Source organism: Homo sapiens, chromosome 17 (genome assembly GCF_000001405.40).
Source record: "Homo sapiens chromosome 17, GRCh38.p14 Primary Assembly".
Taxonomy (NCBI): domain Eukaryota; kingdom Metazoa; phylum Chordata; class Mammalia; order Primates; family Hominidae; genus Homo; species Homo sapiens.
This window is the reverse complement of record NC_000017.11, coordinates 73,346,796-73,365,892: the sequence shown is the minus strand read 5'-3', so window position 1 is coordinate 73,365,892 and position 19,097 is coordinate 73,346,796. Positions and strand designations below refer to the sequence as shown.

The following is a 19,097-nucleotide window of genomic DNA, read 5'->3' as shown; positions in this document are numbered from 1 at the left end:
AAGCCCTGGAGCCCCAGGAGGAGAGGAAGGCCATCTCCGTCTGCTGTGGTTCTGGTGTCTTCTTTGTTTAGCGCCTACCGAATATTCTGAGGCCCAGACACCCCCACCTTCTCCACGAAAGCCAAAAGACGAACCCCGCAAAGCCAGGAAATGGCCTTGCCCCACGATGACCCCGGGGGTGTGACAGCTTGTCCCACACTCATAGCCCGGGCTCAGAGCCACTTAGCAGGGAGAAGCCTGAATTCTGCAACTTGAGGGAAAAATCGAGTTCTCTTTCTTCCCAGTTCTTAGGACTCTGATACTGGAAAGTTGAGAGAGGAGAGGAAGGGGGCCTGATGGCCTCCAGTGACCCCTCCTGCCCGCCCTTTCTGCCGAGCCCCACGCTCTTGTTCCTCCCGGGCTCAGACCCAATACTCCCGCTAGCTCCTTGGAGCTGAACCCGAGGCTTTGAACTTCCACAGAAGAAGGAAACAAAAACCCTTTGCTGTCTCCCGCAGCCCCCAGCGCTCCCAGCTCGGTCAAGTTCAGTGAGCTGACCACAACCTCAGTGAATGTGTCCTGGGAAGCCCCGCAGTTCCCCAATGGCATCCTGGAGGGCTACAGGCTGGTGTACGAGCCCTGCAGCCCCGTGGATGGTGAGTGGACCCCCCAGCACAGCTCCCCAGCCCCCCACTTTGCAAAAGCTCGCTCTCATCTCAGCGCCCATCACAGCCACTACACATGAGTGAGATTCGGTGAGAGTCTCCCCATCTTATAAACACGGAAACTGAGTCCCAGACAAGGGAAAGTGCATTTCCAAGGTAAAACAACAGCAAGTTGAGGGCAGAGTTGGAAGAGAGATCCAGGTCTCCTAACTTCCAGGCAGAGAATCGTTAAATATATTCTTCCCCCTTTGGTCAACGGAAACAGGGAGGAAAGGAAGGGAAACCTGAGTGGACAGGGCTCTGTTGAGACCATAAAGAAGGGGGGCAGCCAAGGACGGTGGCTCACGCCTGTAATGACAGCACTTTGGGAGGCTGAGGCGGGTGGATCACCTGAGGTCAGGAGTTCCAAGACCAGCCTGGCCAACATGGTGAAACCCCGTCTCTACTGAAAATACAAAAATTAGCCGGGTGTGGTGGTGGGTACCTGTAGTCTCAGCTACTCGGGAAGCTGAGGCAGGAGAATCGCTTGAACCCGGCAGGCAGAGGTTGCAGTAAGCCGGGATCACGCCACTGCACTCCAGCCTGGGCGACAGAGCTAGATTCCATCTCAAAAGGAAAAAAGAAAAGAAAAAGAAGAGGGGAGCCCCTGAGGGTCCTACTTTGCCCTTTCCCAAACCTTAGGGTTCTCAGCTTTACTGTGGGTTAGTCCTTCTTTAGCTTTGGTGGGAGTCAGGAACCCCTTGGAGAATCTGATGAGAATCTGACCAAAGCTTCAGAGCCTCTCCCCAGGAAGATACACAAGACCAAGGAGGTCCCTGCACCCCCCACTGCTATCTGCGGACCCCAGATCAAGAGCCCTGCTCTGCAAATGACCTCGCTCTTGTCCTTAACCCTGTTCATCTGACTGGTCTTCTGACCCCTTCCTCCGGGCCCCAGCTGGGAACCTGCCCATTTCTGGGCTCCTAGGCTGGGCTGCGCAGCCCCTGACAATGGGCATCTGGTACCTGCCAGCTTTCTACCCCTGGTAACATGCCAAGAAATCCCTGCCATTTTGTTATGAACAACCATCCTATGAGGATGGGATTTAGGCAGGAAGGAAACTGCGTTCCTCACTGCCTGGGACTAGTCCCAGCCAGGTGCTGGGGGTGTGGCTGACCTCTGGAGCCACCCCTCTCACTCTCACCCCCTCCAATCACGGAGCCTGGCAAGAACAAGGGGCAGAGACCTGGGAACATCGTTGTGACCAGCAGTTCTCGGTGAGCCTAGGGAACAATGGCCCTCAGTCTTCCCTGCTACCACCTGGGTGCCAGCAGCTCGTTCTGCAAAGGGGAGCTGTGTGTTAGAACACCAGGGGGGAGCCAGGCCCCAGCAGGAGATCCAGTCAGGTGCAGGGCCGGAGTGGGGCAGAGGACAGCAGTCCCCGAGACAAGGTACAGGGGGCCAGCACAAGCCCTCTTCACAGGGGCCTCAACCTGGCCTGTCCAGGACCCTCTCAACTTGAGGATGTGAGCTCTTTGCCTTCCAATTCCACAGTCTGGTGGGATCTGGACTGTGTGGCTCAACTCCACACCCCTACACATTCCCATCTTCCCATAATAGTTCAGTTAATAAGTACAGCAAGACAAGGCCCCGCCTGGACAGCCCAGTGTCCACACCCCAGTTCATCCTGGGTTCAGGTCAATAGCAAACCAGCCTCACAAAAGCCCAGCAGCCCCCACTGTCCTGTAGGGAAAACCAAGGTCCAGGCAGATGAGGGCTTTGTTCAGAATTGTCAAGGAGCAGGTAGCCAGAGTCCCTGTTCCTGGTCCCAGGGTCATTTCATTCTTTCAGGAAGCCCCTCTGAGCCTACATTGTTCCATCATTTAGTAATCCACTTAGCGGCCGGGTGCAGTGGCTCACACCTGCAATCCCAGCACTTCGGGAGGCCGAGGCGGTGGATCACCTGAGTTCAGGAGTTCGAGACCAGCCTGACCAACGTGGCAAAATCCTGTCTCTACTAAAAATACAAAATTAGCTGGGTGTGGTAGTGGACGCCTACTCGGGAGGCTGAGGCAGGAGAATCGCTTGAACCCAGGAGGCGGAGGTTTCAGTGAGCTGAGATCGCGCCATTGCACTCCAGCCTGGGCAACAATAGTGAAAATCCACCTCAAAACGATAATATTAGTAATCCACTTAGTCAATAAATAGGTCAGGCACCTACATGCTCTGTTATTTTACTTAAAGCTCATAGCATCCCTGCCTAAGATGCTGTGGACACCCTCACTCGGCAGAACAAACTGAAGCCAAGTTAAGGGACATGCCGGGGCCGGCGCCATCACTGGGTCTGAGCCCAGCCTATTGGCTGCAAGGCCTGTCTTTCACTGGTGACTGGCGTGCTCGATGGACATGGGAAATGACACTAACCCCGGCTCCCAGGGAGGCTGGCAGTCAGGAGTATTTGGATTCGCGAAGCACAGAGTGCAAACCCCCACCTCCTGAAAGCTGGCTCAAGCGTCCCCTCTAGTTGCTGTGATTTGGGGTGCTGAGGCATCCTCACTTTTGCCCTAAAAAGCTTGGTGGACTGGGCATAGTGGTTCATGCCTATAATCCCAGCACTTTGAGAGGCCAAGGTGGGAGGATCACTTGAGGCCAGGAGTTCGCGACCAGCCTGGGCAACATAATGAGACCCTGTCTCTACAAAAATTTAAAAATTAGCCAGGCATGATGGTGCACACCTACAGTCTTAGCTACTTGGAAGGCTGAAAGTGGCAGGACGGCTTGAACCCAGGAGGTCGAGGCTACAGTGAGCCATGATTGTGCCTGAGCAACAGAGCAAGACCTTGTCTTAAAAAAAAAAAAAAAATTGTGGCAGATATAGGTGCTGGAGGGCCATGTGAGCTCCTGGCTGAACCCCAGAGGTGGAGCTGGAGTGGGGCTCAGGTGGAGGACCTGGTCAAAAGTGTGTCCCCGCAACTCTGGGCTTTTGGTATTTTTATGGAAGCACTTCCTGAAAAAGGATATAATTCTAGTCCCATGGGATGCTGCATAAGGGAATAGCAATGGAGCCGAAACATATTTGGGGTGCAGAGGTTACATTAAACAGGATGGCGAGTGTTCTCTTTTCTGTAGATGCTGATGATGGACCCTGTGGCTACTCAGTAGACACAGACAGTAGTAGCTTTTCCCAAACATACTGAACCATGGAGCCGTTCTCCCTGAGAACAGCAGGCAGGACCGTGCTGTGAGAAACACAGCATGGGCAATGTGGTTGTGTGGGCTGGGGGTGCATTTCAGCCTGACCTCAAGGAGTGAGGCCCCTACCCAGGGTCCCGGGGCCCAGGCCACGGCCGCTTCCCCTTCCCCATGGCCTCCAGTGCCCTCGGTGGGCCCTGTGCCCAGTCCCCACTTGCTGTGCCTCCCCCAGGAGTCAGCAAGATCGTGACCGTGGACGTGAAGGGGAACAGCCCCCTGTGGCTGAAGGTGAAGGACCTGGCGGAGGGGGTGACCTACAGGTTCCGCATCAGAGCCAAGACCTTCACCTACGGGCCGGAGATCGAAGCCAACGTCACCACGGGCCCCGGAGAAGGTAGGAGAGCAACGGACCAGGCATGTCTTCCACACGGCGGTTCAGCGTCCCCAGTCAGAAGGGGCCCCCGGTGTCAAGAGCTGTGCTGGACCCTGGAAACAGAGTGGAGGACAGAGCTCACTCTTTCCCCTGGTGCCCAGTGACCCCTCCCCCCGCTCCCTCCTCCCGGGCTCCACGCTTTGATTAATGTGTCCTCAGGTTCCTCAAGCCACAAACCCTGGAGCAGCGCCCCCTCCTCTCCCACTTAGGCCCAGCCCACAGGCCTGGCCTGGCCACTGCGCCTGCTTCGTTCTTTCTCTCCCTGCTAATTGCATGGCCTCCTTTACTTCCGTCCTGGAAGGATGCAGCCTGGCAGGTGCCCCTGCCTTTCGCCCAGCCAGAGCCATCTTCCCACGCCCCTGAACCACCCCTACCCTCCAGGCAGCGGTTCTCAGAGCAGGGCGCACTAAAATGCACGTTCCCAGGGTGGATGCTCCGAGGGGTTGATTTCCTGGGGCTGAGGTGGGACCTGGCAGTCTGCACTTAGACAAAAGCCCCTGGAGGCCGTGACAAAGTGGCACCTTGAGAAACACCTGATGGAGCAGGTCACCTATTCACAGCCAGGGCCCTGCCTCCCCCACCTCACCACCCACCCCCTCCGCAGAACGCCCTTTTGTGTGTAACTGCCCGCCCCTCACCCCAGGAAGTCTTCCTTAATCTCCTGTATTGTTTCTGTTGTTGTTGTTTGGGCTTTTTTTTTTTTTTTCTGGAGACAGAGTCTCGCTCTGTCATCCAGGCTGGAGTGCAGTGGTGCAATCTCAGTTCACTGCAACCTCCACCTCCCGGGTTCAAGCAATTCTCAAGCTTCAGCCTCCCAAGTAGCTGGGATTACAGGTGATTTCTACCACGACCAGCTAATTTTTGTATTTTTAGTAGAGACAGGGTTTGGCCAGGCTGGTCTCCAACTCCTGACCTCAAGTGATCCACCTGCTGCAGTCTCCCAAAGTGCTGGGATTACAGGCATGAGCCACTGTGCCCAATCGCCTCCTTTAAATGTCCTCTTCACCTCCCTTCCCCTCCCACCCCTCATCCCCCCAGGCATTTGCCATGGTCAAGGTTTAGCCCTCCAAAGTCCCTGTTACTGGTCAGTGTAGAATGTCCTGTCCTGAACACAAAAGTCACCTCCCAGACCACTCTGCTGCCTCCCTCCCTAAGAAGGGGTACAGCCCATCCTGGACTTCCCCTAAAATCCCATCTCCTCCTCTGCCCACCCCCTTCAGCCAAGAATGGCGCAGGCCTCCCCTCCCCAGCAGTCCCAATTAGCCTGACTCAGGAAGAGAGTCTTCCCCTAATGGCTTAGTCTGGCTGCGCTTCACTTTTTCTTTCTGGCCAGTCACTTTCTATTCCCCACAGTCTGGTTCTGCAAAGAAGCCCTGTAGCTCTAGGGCAAACTCAGGACAAAGCCTGCAGGAGGCAGCCCAGGAGCCACCCAGCCGCTGTCCTTTCATCTGCCTCCAGCCCCGCCCCGCGCTGCCTCTCACCTGAGCCAGCTTCCTGGGAAACAAAAGTAGGAGAGAGAGCTGGCAAGCAACTGAGGACCAAGCGTTGGCAGTGGCCTGGGGACAGGAGAGGGCTGTGCGGAGGACAGGCTGTTCTATCCTGAGGCTTGAAGTGTCCCAGGCTGAGAGGTGGGGAGGTGGGAGGAGATAAAGGGCAGAGGGTTCAGAGAAGGTAGTGGAGGGCACTCTGAGAAAGAAAGAACCAGCCGGGTGTGGGGGTTCACGCCTGTAATCCCAACATTTTGGGAGGTGGAGGCGGGTGGATTGCCTGAGCCCAGGAGTTCAAGACCAGCCTGGGCAATACAGCAAAACCCCATCTCTACAAAAATAAAATTATCCAGGCATACTGGTGAATACCTGAAGTCCCAGCTACTCAGGAGGCTGTCGTGGGAGAATCGTTTGAGCCCAGGAGGTGGAGGCTGCAGTGAGCTGTGATCGTGCCCCTGCACTCCCGCCTGGGCAACAGAGTGAGAACGTGTCTCAAAAAAAGAAATAAAGAAGCCATCCTCCCACATGGTGTGGGTGCAGGGGGCGGTCTGCAGGCGGGGAACATGCAGCCAGGCAGTGGCTGGACTCGCTGGAAGCTCCTGGCCCCGGAGAAGGTGCAGGCTCTGTCCTCAGCCCTGAGTACTGTCCTGTGCAGGATGAGTACAGGGTCCTGAGGGCTGCCTGCCCTACCATACTCCCTCAGGCGTGTCCACCCCACCTGACCCCGCAGTTACTCTGCCCTTGTGCTGCAGACAGGCTGCTCCATAGGGAAGGAAGGAAATGGTGCCCTCCAATGCTGTGGGGTGGGCATAGGGGCCAGGCGGGGCTGCCAGGCTGTGTGAGCGATGGGGTGGGCATAGTGGCCGGGTGGGGTTGCCAGGCTGTGTAAGGAGGGCCTGCTGGCCCTCCAGGGCCCTGGGGGAGCATCAGTGTGATGCTAGACTCTGCTCCACAGAGACCCCCCACCAACAAACCAGGTGGCCACCCACTCATGCACTGGTTCCCTCCCTCATCCCCTAAGCACAGAGGAAGCACCTACTGTGTACCCAGCTCTGGGGGTACAGAGCCCCACCTTTGGTGGGGAGCAGGATTGGAGGTGACAGCATGTGGGGTCGGGATTCTGGACGGGCACCCCCAAGAGAAGGGGCTCAGAGCCCCTTGCAGACAGATACCTGGCTCACTCCTCTCATTGCTGGAGTCACCTCCTCTCATCTGCTCCAGCTCCTAGGGCCGGCTCCCTCACTGGCCCACATCCCAGGCTGCTCCTGACGTACCTTCATTCCAGGAGCGCGGCATGGGGCCCAGTCCTTCCTCCCTCCTCCTAGCAGCACAGGCCCCAAGGCCTCCTGGGGCATAAACCCCCTCTCCCCTTGTCTAACCTAATAGGAAATGCAGTTGGGGTTGGGGGATTTTAGGCAGGAATGAGGGAGGGCGGACATCATATCACCTACCAGGAGGGAGAAACTGGACTCTTCAGCCCCGCTCCGACCAACCCCCTCCTCTCATGGGCCCACTCTGCCATCATCGCACCCACCTCTATTCCCCACCATCCAGGACACAGCCTTCAAGCCTTACCTTCCAAAAGGCCCTTATAGAGGGGGAAACGGAGGCACTGGAAGGCTATGTGAATTGATCAAAATCACCCATCTAACACGTTCTGGGCTGGAACCCAGGTCTCCTGGCTCTACTCCAGGGACCTTTCTGGACCATTCCATTTGTCTTCTGCCCTGGGATTTGGAATATGGAGCATAGGGGTAGCCCAGGGGGACAACAGTCCATCCTGGCAGGCCCAGCCTGAGATGTACTCTCAGGCCGCGACATTTGCAGGGCTTCCTGGCGGCTCTCTGTCCAGGGTTGGTTTTGTCACCCAGTGTTCCTCCTCGAGCCCAGGGTGACGGGCTGGGTGGCTGTTCTGGGTTCCATACATCCCTCGCCTCTGTGTGCTGTCTGCAGGTGCCCCAGGACCGCCTGGCGTGCCCATCATCGTGCGGTACAGCTCTGCCATCGCCATTCACTGGTCCAGCGGAGACCCGGGCAAAGGGCCCATCACCCGCTACGTCATCGAGGCCAGACCTTCAGGTGCGCCCCGCCCTGCTGGGCTGAGACCCCACAGCTCATTATCTCCCTTCTTCCTGGGTCCCTCCACTTGGGGCACTTGCCTCTGTCCTCCGCCTGAGAAGGCGCTTGTGCTACTACAGGTGAAGTCACCTGGCCCTGTTGAGGAGTGGGAAACTGGGTTGGGGGGCTCCTAGAGCTGGACTCCTAGCTAAGTAACCCCCAGGAGGCCCCCAGAGAACGGCTGTTAGTGCTAACTGAGGACCAGCTTGGGTTGAGGATTGCTCAGGAAGCCGGAAGCCTGAGCACGTGGCTCACGTGGGTCACACACCGAATCCTCCACACGACCCCACTGATGGGTGCCCCATAACTAAGAAGACCCTGGCTGCCTCTCGAAGCCCTGTCTCTGCCATCATGGCTGTCTCAGTGGCTGCTATAATCGTACCAGCCTCTCCTGTCAAGCCTGAAATTGAATCACAAGAACTTCCAAAGCCATCAGGAGATGAGTGACAGATAAGTCAGTCGGGGGGCTGCTCCCCACTGCTCCGGTTTCACCCATCCTGACACCCGCTTGCTGGGCTCTGCTTACTCTCAGGAGCTTGCAGCCACTGCCAGCTCCCTGCGTTGCTAGGTTTCCAAGTTAATCAGAGGTGCCAGAGTCAGCAAGAGCAGGAGGCCTGTTCTCTGTATCCCATGGATCCGCGGTTAGGTGATTAAAATTGAGAAGGAAAACAAGATTTTGTTGCTCTAGCCCAAATAGCAAATAACAATCATAATGGGACGCCACCAGGCATCTCGGTAGCTAGTACTTCTAATGGGGAATATGGAAACATCCCAGTGATGAATTGTTAATACTTCGAGGTAGCTGGGCACTAATCATCCCAATAGCAGAGAGTTAATAATTCTAGTAGCTCCTGGAAGACATTACCACCGCTCCTGCCTTAATCACATGCTAATAATCGCAGTTGCATATAGCGAATACATCTAGCTGCTCAGATCTGCTGTGTGGCCGGAGGATGCATGCGGGGCTGGCTCTCTCCCCACTCCAGATGGTCCCTCCCTGGCCCTCTGGTGCCGGCTGCTGAGTTGGCCAGGAGACCACTACGTGCTTCTCCCAACCAGGGCCTGCACCTGTTTATTCCACCCAAGTTGGCCAGTTGGGGTGCCAGGCTGTGGAATGTTGGCCCCTGACTCTGGCTCTGTTGATTCTCAGTGTTTCCTGGGAGGCCCAGCGTGGGACTCTGGTGTTCCAAGTTTGTGGGCTGTGACTTGGTCCACACTGGTGGAATCAAGACCTGAGCATAAAAGGAAGGACCAAGCCAGGGCCCTGTGAGAAACCAGGACTCGGAGCAGGGCCAGGGCCAGAGAGCAGAGGACAGGATCAGTAACCAGGCACAGGGAGGAGGGAGGAGAGGGGGCAAGGGGCATGGTGGTCTGTCCCTAAGGCTGTTTGAGAGCAGGCTGCTGTTATGGGGTGAGCATCTCTCCCCTCCATGCCCCCTGCCCCTTCTTCTGTGCTCCCCTTCTCATCTTCAGGATGGCATAGCCCTTGTCATACATTTGCCCTTGAATTGCTTGTGCTTCGTGCTAGGCAGGATAAACTAAATACACCCCCTTTCTATAAGCCAGGAGCTGCCAGGCGCTGCAGACCCAGGGAGAGGTTCGCCCAGGGATTTGCAGCCCCAGGAACCCGTCCTGCACATCAGCCAACTCCCGGGGCTGGCGGCTAGAGCCCCAGCGTGACATTCCAGCAGCTTCTGGCCTGGCCCGGTTGACTCAGCCCCACCCTTTGTCCCTGTGTGGGGTGGAACAAGGGGGGTTAAACAGCAGGCAGGAGATCCCAGCTTCTGGAAGGCAGCAGCAGGGGCCTCAATGATCCCAGCCCATCCAGCAAACACAGGTCCAACACCTGACTGCGTTGGGCAGGGAAGTTCGGTGCCAGAAATGAGGTGGCCCCAGGCAGTAACACCAGCTCTGCTGCTGACAGCGTAGGACCTTGGGAAGATGAGTGAAGCTTCCTCCAGGCCTTGGTGTCCTCATCTGTAAAATGGGGACAGTAGTTCATCCCTCTCGCCATTGCTGTGGATTTGAAAAGGAAAGCACGTAGACCCAGGATGCTTGACAGAGGCGTAAGTGCCAGCTGTTGTCACCGTCATCATCATCATTATGATATCATTCAAAGATGAGTGAGAGAATTCAGAGGCATGTGAGGAAAATGGATTTGTACCCCAGTACTAAAATTTCAAGGCATGAAGTTCCGAAACTGGGCAGCTAATGCTATGAAAAGGCCAGGGAGGAAAGGTTCCATTTATTTATTCAATAAATGCTGAGAAGGTGCCTGTGCTGGGTGCTGGACTAAGGATGACTTAAGACGAATTAGTCATGATCCTTGCCCTTGAGGGATTTCACAGCCAGCAAAGGGGAAAGAGAGAAAGAGAGATATTAAACAAAAAGATGGGTCAGGCACGGTGGCTCACGCCTGTAATCCCAGCACTTTGGGAGTCCAAGGCAGGCGGATCACGAGGTCAGGAGATCGAGACCATCCTCGCCAATATGGTGAAACCCCATCTCTGCTAAAAATAAAAAATAAAAAATAAAATAGCTGGGCTTGGTGGCGTGTGCCTGTAATCCCAGCTACTCCGGAGGCTAAGGCAGGAGAACCCGGAAGCCGGAGGTTGCAGTGAGCCAAGATCGTGTCACGGCACTCCAGCCTGGGTGACAGAGTGAGACTCTGTCTCTAAATAAATAAATAAATAAGTTAGCCGGGCGTGGTGGCGGGTGCCTATAATCCCAGCTACTCAAGAGGCTGAGGTAGGAGGAGAATCTCTTGAATGGGAGGCGGAGGTTGCAGTGAGCTGAGATCATGCCATCACACTCCAGCCTGGGCGACAGAGTGAGACTCCGTCTAAAAAAAAAAAAAAAAAAAAATATATATATATATATGGAGGTGTAGGAGGCAGAGGCTCAAAAACAAGTAAGACCAACAGTGAGGCCGAGGTTCGGGACCCCGGAGCCTTCTGCAAGGACAGCTCTGATGTAGACTGGGTCCCCATGGCCTTCCCCAAATTGGAAGGATCCACACTGGAAGTGGGGAGACAGCCCCCTCAGCAGTTCCCACCACTGGGTCCAAAATTCAGACAGGACGCCAGGGTGTCGAGGCGCCTCTGCTGCAGTGCTCGACTTACACGGCTGGGTCTATGAGAAAGTATGGTGAGGAAAACAAAACCATCAGCCCTGGGGAAGGGCGGCCTTGAACTGGGCACACCTCTGGCGGGAGAGCAGCTTCAACCAGAGGGTGCAGAAGCAGAACGGCGAGAAGAACGGGCCCTGCATGTGAGAGACTGGAGGTGCTTGGTTGGGGCAGGCTAGGGGAAGTTAAGGCCTTTTAGTCCCTGGTGGCAGCGGCCTGGAAGACCCACTGTTGGCCACTGGGTGACCTCCCTGGAGCAGGCCAGACAGAGAGGACCTGCGAGCTGGCCTCACTGACGTCCTTCTACTGTGAAGAGGGGTCTGGCTAGGCCCAGGGTGGCTTGGATACCTCAGTTTCCAAATCAGCCCCGCACTGCCACCAGCAGGAAGACGCACCCTCTCTCAGGGCCAGGCTGACCCCATCAGCCCCACCCAGAGCATGCAGCCAGGGCCCCTCCTGGCCTTCCCACCAACATGATGGATGCCCCAAGGCTATGTCAGGGGCTTGCCTCGTCCCTGACCCAGGCAGCACCCGCACCGCTCTGACTGAACAGCATGAAGGTGAATTATGTCCCACGAGGGCAAGGCCCAGAGAGCCACGGATAAAGAGGGGAAGGGGATCTGAGGGAAGCTCAGGTGCAAAGGACAGAGGTGGCTGACGCCAGCACAGGGTGGAGAACAGACAGGAAACCCAAATTTTTCCTGTTGGCTGAGCGCGGTGGCTCACACCTGTAATCCCAGCACTTTGAGAGGCTGAGATGTGAGGATCGCTTGAGCCCAGGAGGTTGAGGCTGCAGTGAGCCAAGAGCACACCACTGCACTCTAGCCTTGGCAACCGAGCGAGACCCTATCTCAAAACAATTTTTTTAAAACCAAATCTTTCCTGCAGCTGTTACTAAAAAGAAAAGAAAAAGACCGGGCATGGTGGCTCACACGTGTAATCCTCTTTGGGAGGCCAAGGCAGGCAGATCACCTGAGGTCAGGAGTTCAAGACCAGCCTGGCCAACATGATGAAACCCTGTCTCTACTAAAAAATACAAAATTTAGCTGGGCGTGGTGGAGTAAGCCTGTAATCCCAGCTATCCGGGAGGCTGAGGTAGGAAAATAGCTTGAACCTGGGAGGCGGAGGTTGTGGTAAGCTGAGATGGCACCACTGCACTCCAGCCTGGATGACAGAGTGAGACTCCATCTCAAAAAAAAAAAAAAAAAAAAATTGGCCAGGCACAGTGGCTCACACCTGTAATCCCAGCACTTTGGGAGGCTGAGGTAGGCAGATCACCTGAGGTCGAGAGTTCGAGACCAGCCTGACCAACATGGAGAAACCCCGTCTCTACTAAAAATACAAAATTAGTCAGGCATGGTGGATTTGGAAAGCTGAGGCAGGAGAATCGCTTGAACTCGGGAGGCAGAGGTTGCTGTGAGCCGAGATCCTGCCATTGCACTCCAGCCTGGGCAACAAGAGCGAAACTCTGTCTCGAAACAAAGAAAAAAGAAAAATAGCGCTCTTATTTTTGTCTCCTGCCACCATTGTGTATGTTTTGAATTAGGAAAGGGGGTTAGTTAAGTAAAGAAGGGTATTCCCATATGATAATGTCTTAGGCAGTCACTTAAAATCATGTTTCCAACCATTTTTAATGAAGTGGAAGACAGAATCCATAGTGTTCTGCTTGCACAAGTGCTAATTCCTTGAGCCTGTTTCTCTGGACGGTGGTTCTGTCATTGGTTGTGACAGTACTTTCTGCACAGTACGTATCTTTTAATGTAGTACAGATATTTTAATAAAAAGAATAAAAGAGATGCTCCAAAAGGTGTCTTTTTTTTTTGAGACTGAGTCTTGCTCTGCTGCCCAGGCCAGAATGCAGTGGCGTGATCTCAGCTCACTGCAACTTCCATCTCCCAGCTTCAAGCAATTCCCTGCCTCAGCTTCCCCAGTAGCTGGGATTACAGGCATGTGCCACCACACCAGACTAATTTTTGTATTTTTAGTAGAGACAGGGTTTCACCATGTTGGCTAGGCTGGTCTCGAACTCCTAACCTCAGGTGATCCACCCACCTCGGCCTCTCAAAGTGCTGGAATTACAGGCATGAGCCACCGTGCTTGGCCCGAAAGTTGTCTTTTTAAGAAACTTCAAGGGAGGACCAAGGCCTGCGATTCAGTGTGGAGCAGGGAGGATCCAACAGGCCCAGCCCTCAGGGAGCATAGTCAGAACGGGGCTGGGAGCGGGATTTGGGGCTTCCCCTCACCTCCCAGGGCCTCCATCTCTGTGCTCCTGCAGACGAGGGACTATGGGACATCCTCATCAAAGACATCCCCAAGGAGGTGAGCTCCTACACGTTCAGCATGGACATCCTGAAGCCGGGCGTGAGCTATGACTTCCGGGTCATCGCGGTCAACGACTATGGTTTCGGCACCCCCAGCAGCCCCTCCCAGTCTGTGCCAGGTACCGGCCTGGGGGCTGAGGGAGTGGGGGAGCCCCACAGCAGAGCCTGGGGGCTGACACTGGGCAGGGCGGAAGGAGGAGAGGCACCAGGGCACCAGGAGCATGGGGCGGGAACAAAAACACATTGTCCCCTCGGGGCTGTGAAGAGGCAAGTGCTGGTGCCCAGGCCTGGGTCAGCCCTCAAGACCAGAGGAAACTAGGGATCTTCATCTTTGGGGCTCCCTTTCAAGGAACTCCAGAAGCCCTGGGTAGGGGCAGAGCAGAGGGCCCAAGATGCAAACTTCCATGCACTCATCACCCAGGACATTCATGGGCACCAGGCCATAAACTATCTTTCCATGGAAACCTCCAGCCCCAACGTGGCAGGGTCAGCAGCCTGCAGAGCAGCAGAGACACAGGTGGGCCTTAGGCCTGACCTAGTGCCTGGGTGCAGCAGGGTCACCACCCCTCCCATTTTCCTCCCCTCATTCTTCCTATCTGGCATGTCTTGGAGCGCACAAAGGGCTCTGCTATCTAAACCCTTGACCCAAAATGTTATCACTAACCACCCAGAATACAAAGGCCCCTTCCCCCAAGCAGAAGCACAACTCAAAGGAACCCAGCCTCCTCCCCCTGCCACACATTGCCCACATTGAAGAACCAAATCTTCTCCTTTACCCACATTGATAAAACCAAATCCTGGGACAGAAGTGCTTCAAGGCCGAAACAGAGAGCCCATCTCTTGTCCACACAGCATGGGTAGTCCTGGCTGGGTGCAGAAAGCACAGTCTAGGGGTTTTGAGAAAAGGGAGCTCTACCTGGAAGAGACATCCTAAAGACCCTCTCACCACACTCTGGTTTTTCTTCAGATCGTGTAAATCTTTCACCTTTTACTAAAGAACCCCTGTGTCCATCCTCCCAATTCCCCCTGCCTTCTGCTACCAGCAAAAATTTCACTCCAAACTAAACCTCAGGAAAAGCTCTCTCATCCTCCTGCAGGCCAGAGAAGCACCTTTCCCCACACAGATTTAGGTATGCTTATCAAGATAGCTCCTAGACAAGTACAAAAGAAAAAAAGAAAAGGGGCCGGGAACGGTGGCTCACGTCTGTAATCCCAACACTTTGGGAGGCCGAGGCAGGTGGATCACCTGAGGTCAGGAGTTAGAGACCAGCCTGGCCAACATGGTGAAACCCCGTGTCTACTAAAAATACAAAGATTAGCCGGGTGTGGTGGCAGGTACCTGTAATCCCAGTTACTTGGAAGGCTGAGGCAGGAGAATTGCTTGAACCCGGGAAGTGGAGGTTGCAGTGAGTCAAGATCATGCCATTGCACTCCAGCCTGGGAAATAAGAGTGAAACTCCGTCTCAAAAAAAAAAAAAAGGGGAAAAAGTAGCTAACACACTGCCACTCTCCCCTCCTATGTCCCTGGCAGACATCACTAATCAATCTTAGCACTCTTTCCTATTGAGCCAGGTAGCCATCTCAGAACTCATCTGACATCAGCCCTCCAGGCAGCCCTTTACCGACTGATCAGAGCGGATACTTGAGGTGAAACTGTCCTTACAGAGGTTCTGCCTCATTCGGAGGGTACAGACCCTGCCTTCCCATAGATTGTAGCAGTTAGTAGGGTCCCAACTGGAGCAGGAGATTTGGAGGGAGGAGGGGGCTGAGCACCCTATATACCTGACTATCTGTGCTCCAGCCCAGAAAGCCAACCCCTTCTATGAGGAGTGGTGGTTCTTGGTGGTCATTGCCCTGGTCGGCCTCATCTTCATCCTGCTTCTGGTCTTCGTGCTCATCATCCGGGGCCAGAGCAAGAAGTACGCCAAGAAGACAGACTCGGGTGAGTGAGCTGGCACCAGCCATGCTGGCTGGACTTGAGTTTTATGTATCTCCTTTTTGGCCAGAACAGGGGTGATCAGGTCCCTCTCCTGGCTCCTGGCAGCGCACCTGCTCTGGTGGGTGGGGCAGCCTAGGGTTTCTACACACAATCTCAATCTCTTATTTTGGTCTCAACTCTACCAAGAGAAAGAGGGGATAACCCAGCCAGGTGGAGAGTGGTATGGGAGAGGGGAGGCCACACAGTCTAAAGGGTGTCAATCTCCCGCCGACTTCAGGGAACAGTGCCAAGTCTGGAGCCCTAGGCCACAGCGAGATGATGAGCTTGGATGAAAGCAGCTTCCCTGCCCTGGAACTCAACAACAGGCGGCTCTCCGTCAAGAACTCTTTCTGCCGAAAGAACGGCCTGTACACCAGGTACTGGGCCCTCTGCGTGGGTTGGGGGCCAGGCCCAGCAGTGCCCAGGTGGGGAGAATGCTGGGGAAGGCCATAGAGCAGGGAGTGCCCACCTGGCCATACCTTGTCCTGGGAAACACCATTCAAGCCCCAGGGCTGGGAACGATCAGCAGAAAGACACAGTGGGGCCCAAGCAGGACAACTAGGGTCCCAGTCCCCACCATGCCCAATCACAGCCTGGGGGTGAGGGCGCACTGGGGAGAAATTTACAAGGAGGTAGCTACTAAGAGTTCCTGACAGTGACAGTAGAATGCAAATAACTGGCAAAATTTTTCAAACCAACCTACTGATGTTCGGAGCCAACTGCCAGGGAAACAGCCCTGCAGATCGTCACTGGCCCCAAAGGCAAGACAGGCCCAGCCAACGCAGACCGAGCAAAAACACCTTAGCGAAGGACGCCTGAGCACCCGCATTATCGCTATGCCCTCCTGTCTTCCTCCCCATTTGGGAAACCCTCTCCCCCAGGTCCTTATTTATACCTATTAAAGGACAACCTCCTATCCCCATCAGCCTCAAAGGGCAGCATCTGAAAGCAGCCCATGAGGACAGGACAAGGCTCGTGGTGCAAGCACAGCTCCTATTTTCTTCTGACTTCTTTCTAACCCCAGCCCCCTCCTAGGCCCTACTCCCTGTGGCCATCGGGCTGCCCATTTCCAAGGGCAGGAGCAGCTGCTGGGGCCCACCTGACCCTCCCCTGATGTGTGGCGGTTTTCTGTTCCCCTGAGCTCAAGAAAGACTGGGCCAGAGGGCTCCTGTCTCCAGCCTCAGCCCTATTGGCATTCCCAGCTCATTGGAGGCGGCAGTCAGGAGGAGTCCAGCCTCTCTCAGGAGCTCACAAAGCTTCCCTCTGTCTCTGTCTTAGAGGGACGAAGCTATGTGTGTGTTCATCTAGAGGATGGAGGGAGGAGCTCCCAAAGCCGAGCTCTTATCCTCTGCCAAATCCAGCCTTCCAAAGAAAGAGCTGTTTGAGGCCCCCACAGCAGGCCCAGCCAGGCCCAGCATGGCCATAGCAGCCCCGCCAGGCTGGCTCCGGGGCCCTACTACATGTAACAAGGGGGCATTTCACACGTGGCCTCACCTTCCCCTGCCCTTCCCAGCCTCTCCTACCCACAGTGCACACACATCCAGGCCCCTGTGTGCCCCCAAAGCCACTGTGTGTACACAAAAATCCCGTTTGCACCAAAGCAGCCCCAGGATGTGGGGTCCTGAACCCAGCCACGGTGACATCCCCCCTACATTCACCCTGCATGTTGCCATGACAGCATTAGCCGGGCACCCCATTTTTCCCTCTTTGTCCTCCTCCAGATTCCTACCTCCCAGGCCCGGGCCCCTGGAAGGCAGACCCAGGAAGGAGGAGGAGCACAGGGTGGCAGGGATCCGTGTTCCCCAGGCCCCCACTGTGGTCTCCCTAGGCCAGGGGAGGCCGCTCTGAGTGAGTGCACCTCTCGGCCCCACTCCCCCGCTCTCTCCAGGTCTCCCCCCAGGCCCAGCCCAGGCAGCCTGCACTACTCGGATGAGGATGTCACCAAATACAACGACCTCATCCCTGCAGAGAGCAGCAGCCTGACGGAGAAGCCCTCAGAAATCTCCGACTCTCAGGTGAGGGCAGGAGGGCCAGGTGTCCTGCAGGGGGCAGGGAGCAGCGCCTCCCAGAGTGGGGCAGTGAACGTAGATGGGCTTTCTTCCTTTCCTTCAAGGGGCAGCAAATATTAAGGGGCCCAAGAAACCACCCTGAAGTCATATATGGGCCATCTGTCCCCTCCCAAGTTCTGCTCAAAGTTTGCGGCCAGTGCCAATGGGGTCCCGGGAACCTTGATCATAGGGGGTACCCCGAAGAAGACGGCCCTCTCTACGTTCAGGGGTCACCCCACAGGCTTAGTTACTCATTAGGGCTGTCCTGCAAGAGAGCACGCTGAAGGTGCGGAGAGGGAGACTCTGGGGAGAAGGTTGACACACAGCCCTGCATTCCAGGCCAGAGACCTGGAAAAATGCTCAGCTTCACTACTCACGCATCAAAACAGCTTCAGAAACAAAGGGCTGGGTGCCCTGGAGCCCTGAGGATGAGAAGCAGTGTAGACCAGGGAGACATTAAGCTTTGGAGGTTTGGACCTGAGTGTGAATCCTAGCTTTGCTGCTCGTGACCTGGGATGTCCTGGGTGTGCCAAGTAACCTTTCTAAGCCTCAGTTTCCCCATCTGTGGAACAGGCAGGGGTGATACTAGGCTCTGTCCGAGGCTGTGGGGAGGATCTGCTGAGTTAGACACTGGTGAACTCAGTGTAGAGCCAGGCACACGGCAACCATTCCGTAAATGTCAGCTTTTATATGAAGAGGGGGTCGGTGCCTCTGGAAGACACAGAGCTTCAGAGAGCGGCCATTAGGTGGGTCACGTGGGGACACTGTCCCAGGCTGTGTGGGGAAGGGGCTGTGTGTATTCCAACCATGCAGCCTTACAGCTTCCCACCCTCACCCTCTGCCTCAGCCAAGCCCAGTGGTTATTGAGGAAAGGGCCACGAAAGGCCACTGCATCCCACGCCCTGGACCTTTCTGCCCAGGCCTGGGAGAGGAAGTGAAGGAAGAGGTGCCAGCAGGGAGCTGGGCTGCTGGCTGTGCAGGAGGTGCCAGGAAGCCTGGGATCACGCTGTGGGCCCCGTGGGCTGAGGGCCTCCCACTCACTGCTGTTTTGTTCAGCTCCAGGGTTACTGATGGGCTTGGCAGAGCTGAGAAGGCTGGACCTAACTCCCTAGCTCAAAGCTGGCAGGGACAGAGACCCCCAACTTAGCATGGCTTACCCAGGAACTTATTGTGGGGGACAAAACCCACGTGATCCAAGTTATGAGTTTTTTTGTTGTTAAGCCAGGGTCTTGCTCTGGAGTGCAGTGGCGCAATCTCCACTTACTGAGACCTCTGCCTCCTGGGTTCAAGTGATTCTCGTGCCTCAGCCTCCAGAGTAGCTGGGATTACAGGCATGTGCCACCACCCCTCACTAATTTTTGTATTTTAGTAGAGATGGGGTTTCACTATGTTGGCCAGGCTGGTCTCAAATGCCTGACCTCAAGTGTTCCCCCGCCTCAGCCTCCCAAAGTGCTGGGATTACAGGTGTGAACCACTGTGCTGGCCCCACTGTGGTCCTTATGAGGCTCCTAAATAAGTCAGTGCTGCTGCCACTCAGCCACGTGAGAAGCAGCTCGGCTACCAATCAGCATCTGCAATGCGGAGCCCCCACCATTGCGACCTTCAAGTGGGGGCTGATGGGGATGCCACTGGTAGTTCTCCTGCCTGTGACAGTTTGTGCAAGGGTACGTCCCTGAGGATCAGCAGCTGCACAGGCCAGGGCCCCTCGGTTTCAGCCGCCAGGAAAAATGACTGCCTCTCTTTTCAAGGACACCCCTTCCCCCAGGTCTT

At 55.6% G+C, this 19,097-nt stretch overlaps 1 protein-coding gene across 4 annotated transcripts in view, besides 7 other annotated features; it reads left to right on the top strand.

The window, feature by feature from the left end:
- The window catches only part of SDK2 (sidekick cell adhesion molecule 2), a 310,062-nt gene that overhangs the window by 278,553 nt on the left and 12,412 nt on the right, over positions 1-19,097 (top strand). For all 4 annotated transcript variants that reach the window (XM_047436313.1, XM_011524914.3, XM_011524915.3 and 1 more), the window contains 7 exons: positions 498-635; positions 4,048-4,209; positions 7,689-7,814; positions 13,256-13,420; positions 15,103-15,243; positions 15,518-15,656; positions 17,168-17,294. In XM_047436313.1, the coding sequence (XP_047292269.1) occupies positions 498-635; positions 4,048-4,209; positions 7,689-7,814; positions 13,256-13,420; positions 15,103-15,243; positions 15,518-15,656; positions 17,168-17,294 (998 nt within the window). The remainder of the gene's footprint in view (positions 1-497; positions 636-4,047; positions 4,210-7,688; positions 7,815-13,255; positions 13,421-15,102; positions 15,244-15,517; positions 15,657-17,167; positions 17,295-19,097) is intronic.
- Positions 404-906: an enhancer, noted in NCBI's record as "H3K27ac-H3K4me1 hESC enhancer chr17:71361126-71361628 (GRCh37/hg19 assembly coordinates)". NCBI's record gives its function as "activates a minimal SCP1, AML or CMV promoter by ChIP-STARR-seq in primed H9 embryonic stem cells {active_cell/tissue: H9 hESC(primed)}" and the evidence as "EXISTENCE:reporter gene assay evidence [ECO:0000049][PMID:30033119]".
- Positions 1,371-2,346: an enhancer, noted in NCBI's record as "H3K4me1 hESC enhancer chr17:71359686-71360661 (GRCh37/hg19 assembly coordinates)". NCBI's record gives its function as "activates a minimal SCP1, AML or CMV promoter by ChIP-STARR-seq in primed H9 embryonic stem cells {active_cell/tissue: H9 hESC(primed)}" and the evidence as "EXISTENCE:reporter gene assay evidence [ECO:0000049][PMID:30033119]".
- Positions 4,164-4,835: an enhancer, noted in NCBI's record as "H3K27ac-H3K4me1 hESC enhancer chr17:71357197-71357868 (GRCh37/hg19 assembly coordinates)". NCBI's record gives its function as "activates a minimal SCP1, AML or CMV promoter by ChIP-STARR-seq in primed H9 embryonic stem cells {active_cell/tissue: H9 hESC(primed)}" and the evidence as "EXISTENCE:reporter gene assay evidence [ECO:0000049][PMID:30033119]".
- Positions 9,469-9,763: a silencer, noted in NCBI's record as "tiled region #1327; K562 Repressive non-DNase unmatched - State 21:Repr". NCBI's record gives its function as "represses a minimal TATA promoter and a strong SV40 promoter by Sharpr-MPRA in K562 cells {active_cell/tissue: K562}" and the evidence as "EXISTENCE:reporter gene assay evidence [ECO:0000049][PMID:27701403]".
- Positions 12,934-13,433: an enhancer, noted in NCBI's record as "H3K4me1 hESC enhancer chr17:71348599-71349098 (GRCh37/hg19 assembly coordinates)". NCBI's record gives its function as "activates a minimal SCP1, AML or CMV promoter by ChIP-STARR-seq in naive H9 embryonic stem cells {active_cell/tissue: H9 hESC(naive)}" and the evidence as "EXISTENCE:reporter gene assay evidence [ECO:0000049][PMID:30033119]".
- Positions 13,434-13,935: an enhancer, noted in NCBI's record as "H3K4me1 hESC enhancer chr17:71348097-71348598 (GRCh37/hg19 assembly coordinates)". NCBI's record gives its function as "activates a minimal SCP1, AML or CMV promoter by ChIP-STARR-seq in naive H9 embryonic stem cells {active_cell/tissue: H9 hESC(naive)}" and the evidence as "EXISTENCE:reporter gene assay evidence [ECO:0000049][PMID:30033119]".
- Positions 17,722-18,571: an enhancer, noted in NCBI's record as "H3K27ac-H3K4me1 hESC enhancer chr17:71343461-71344310 (GRCh37/hg19 assembly coordinates)". NCBI's record gives its function as "activates a minimal SCP1, AML or CMV promoter by ChIP-STARR-seq in primed H9 embryonic stem cells {active_cell/tissue: H9 hESC(primed)}" and the evidence as "EXISTENCE:reporter gene assay evidence [ECO:0000049][PMID:30033119]".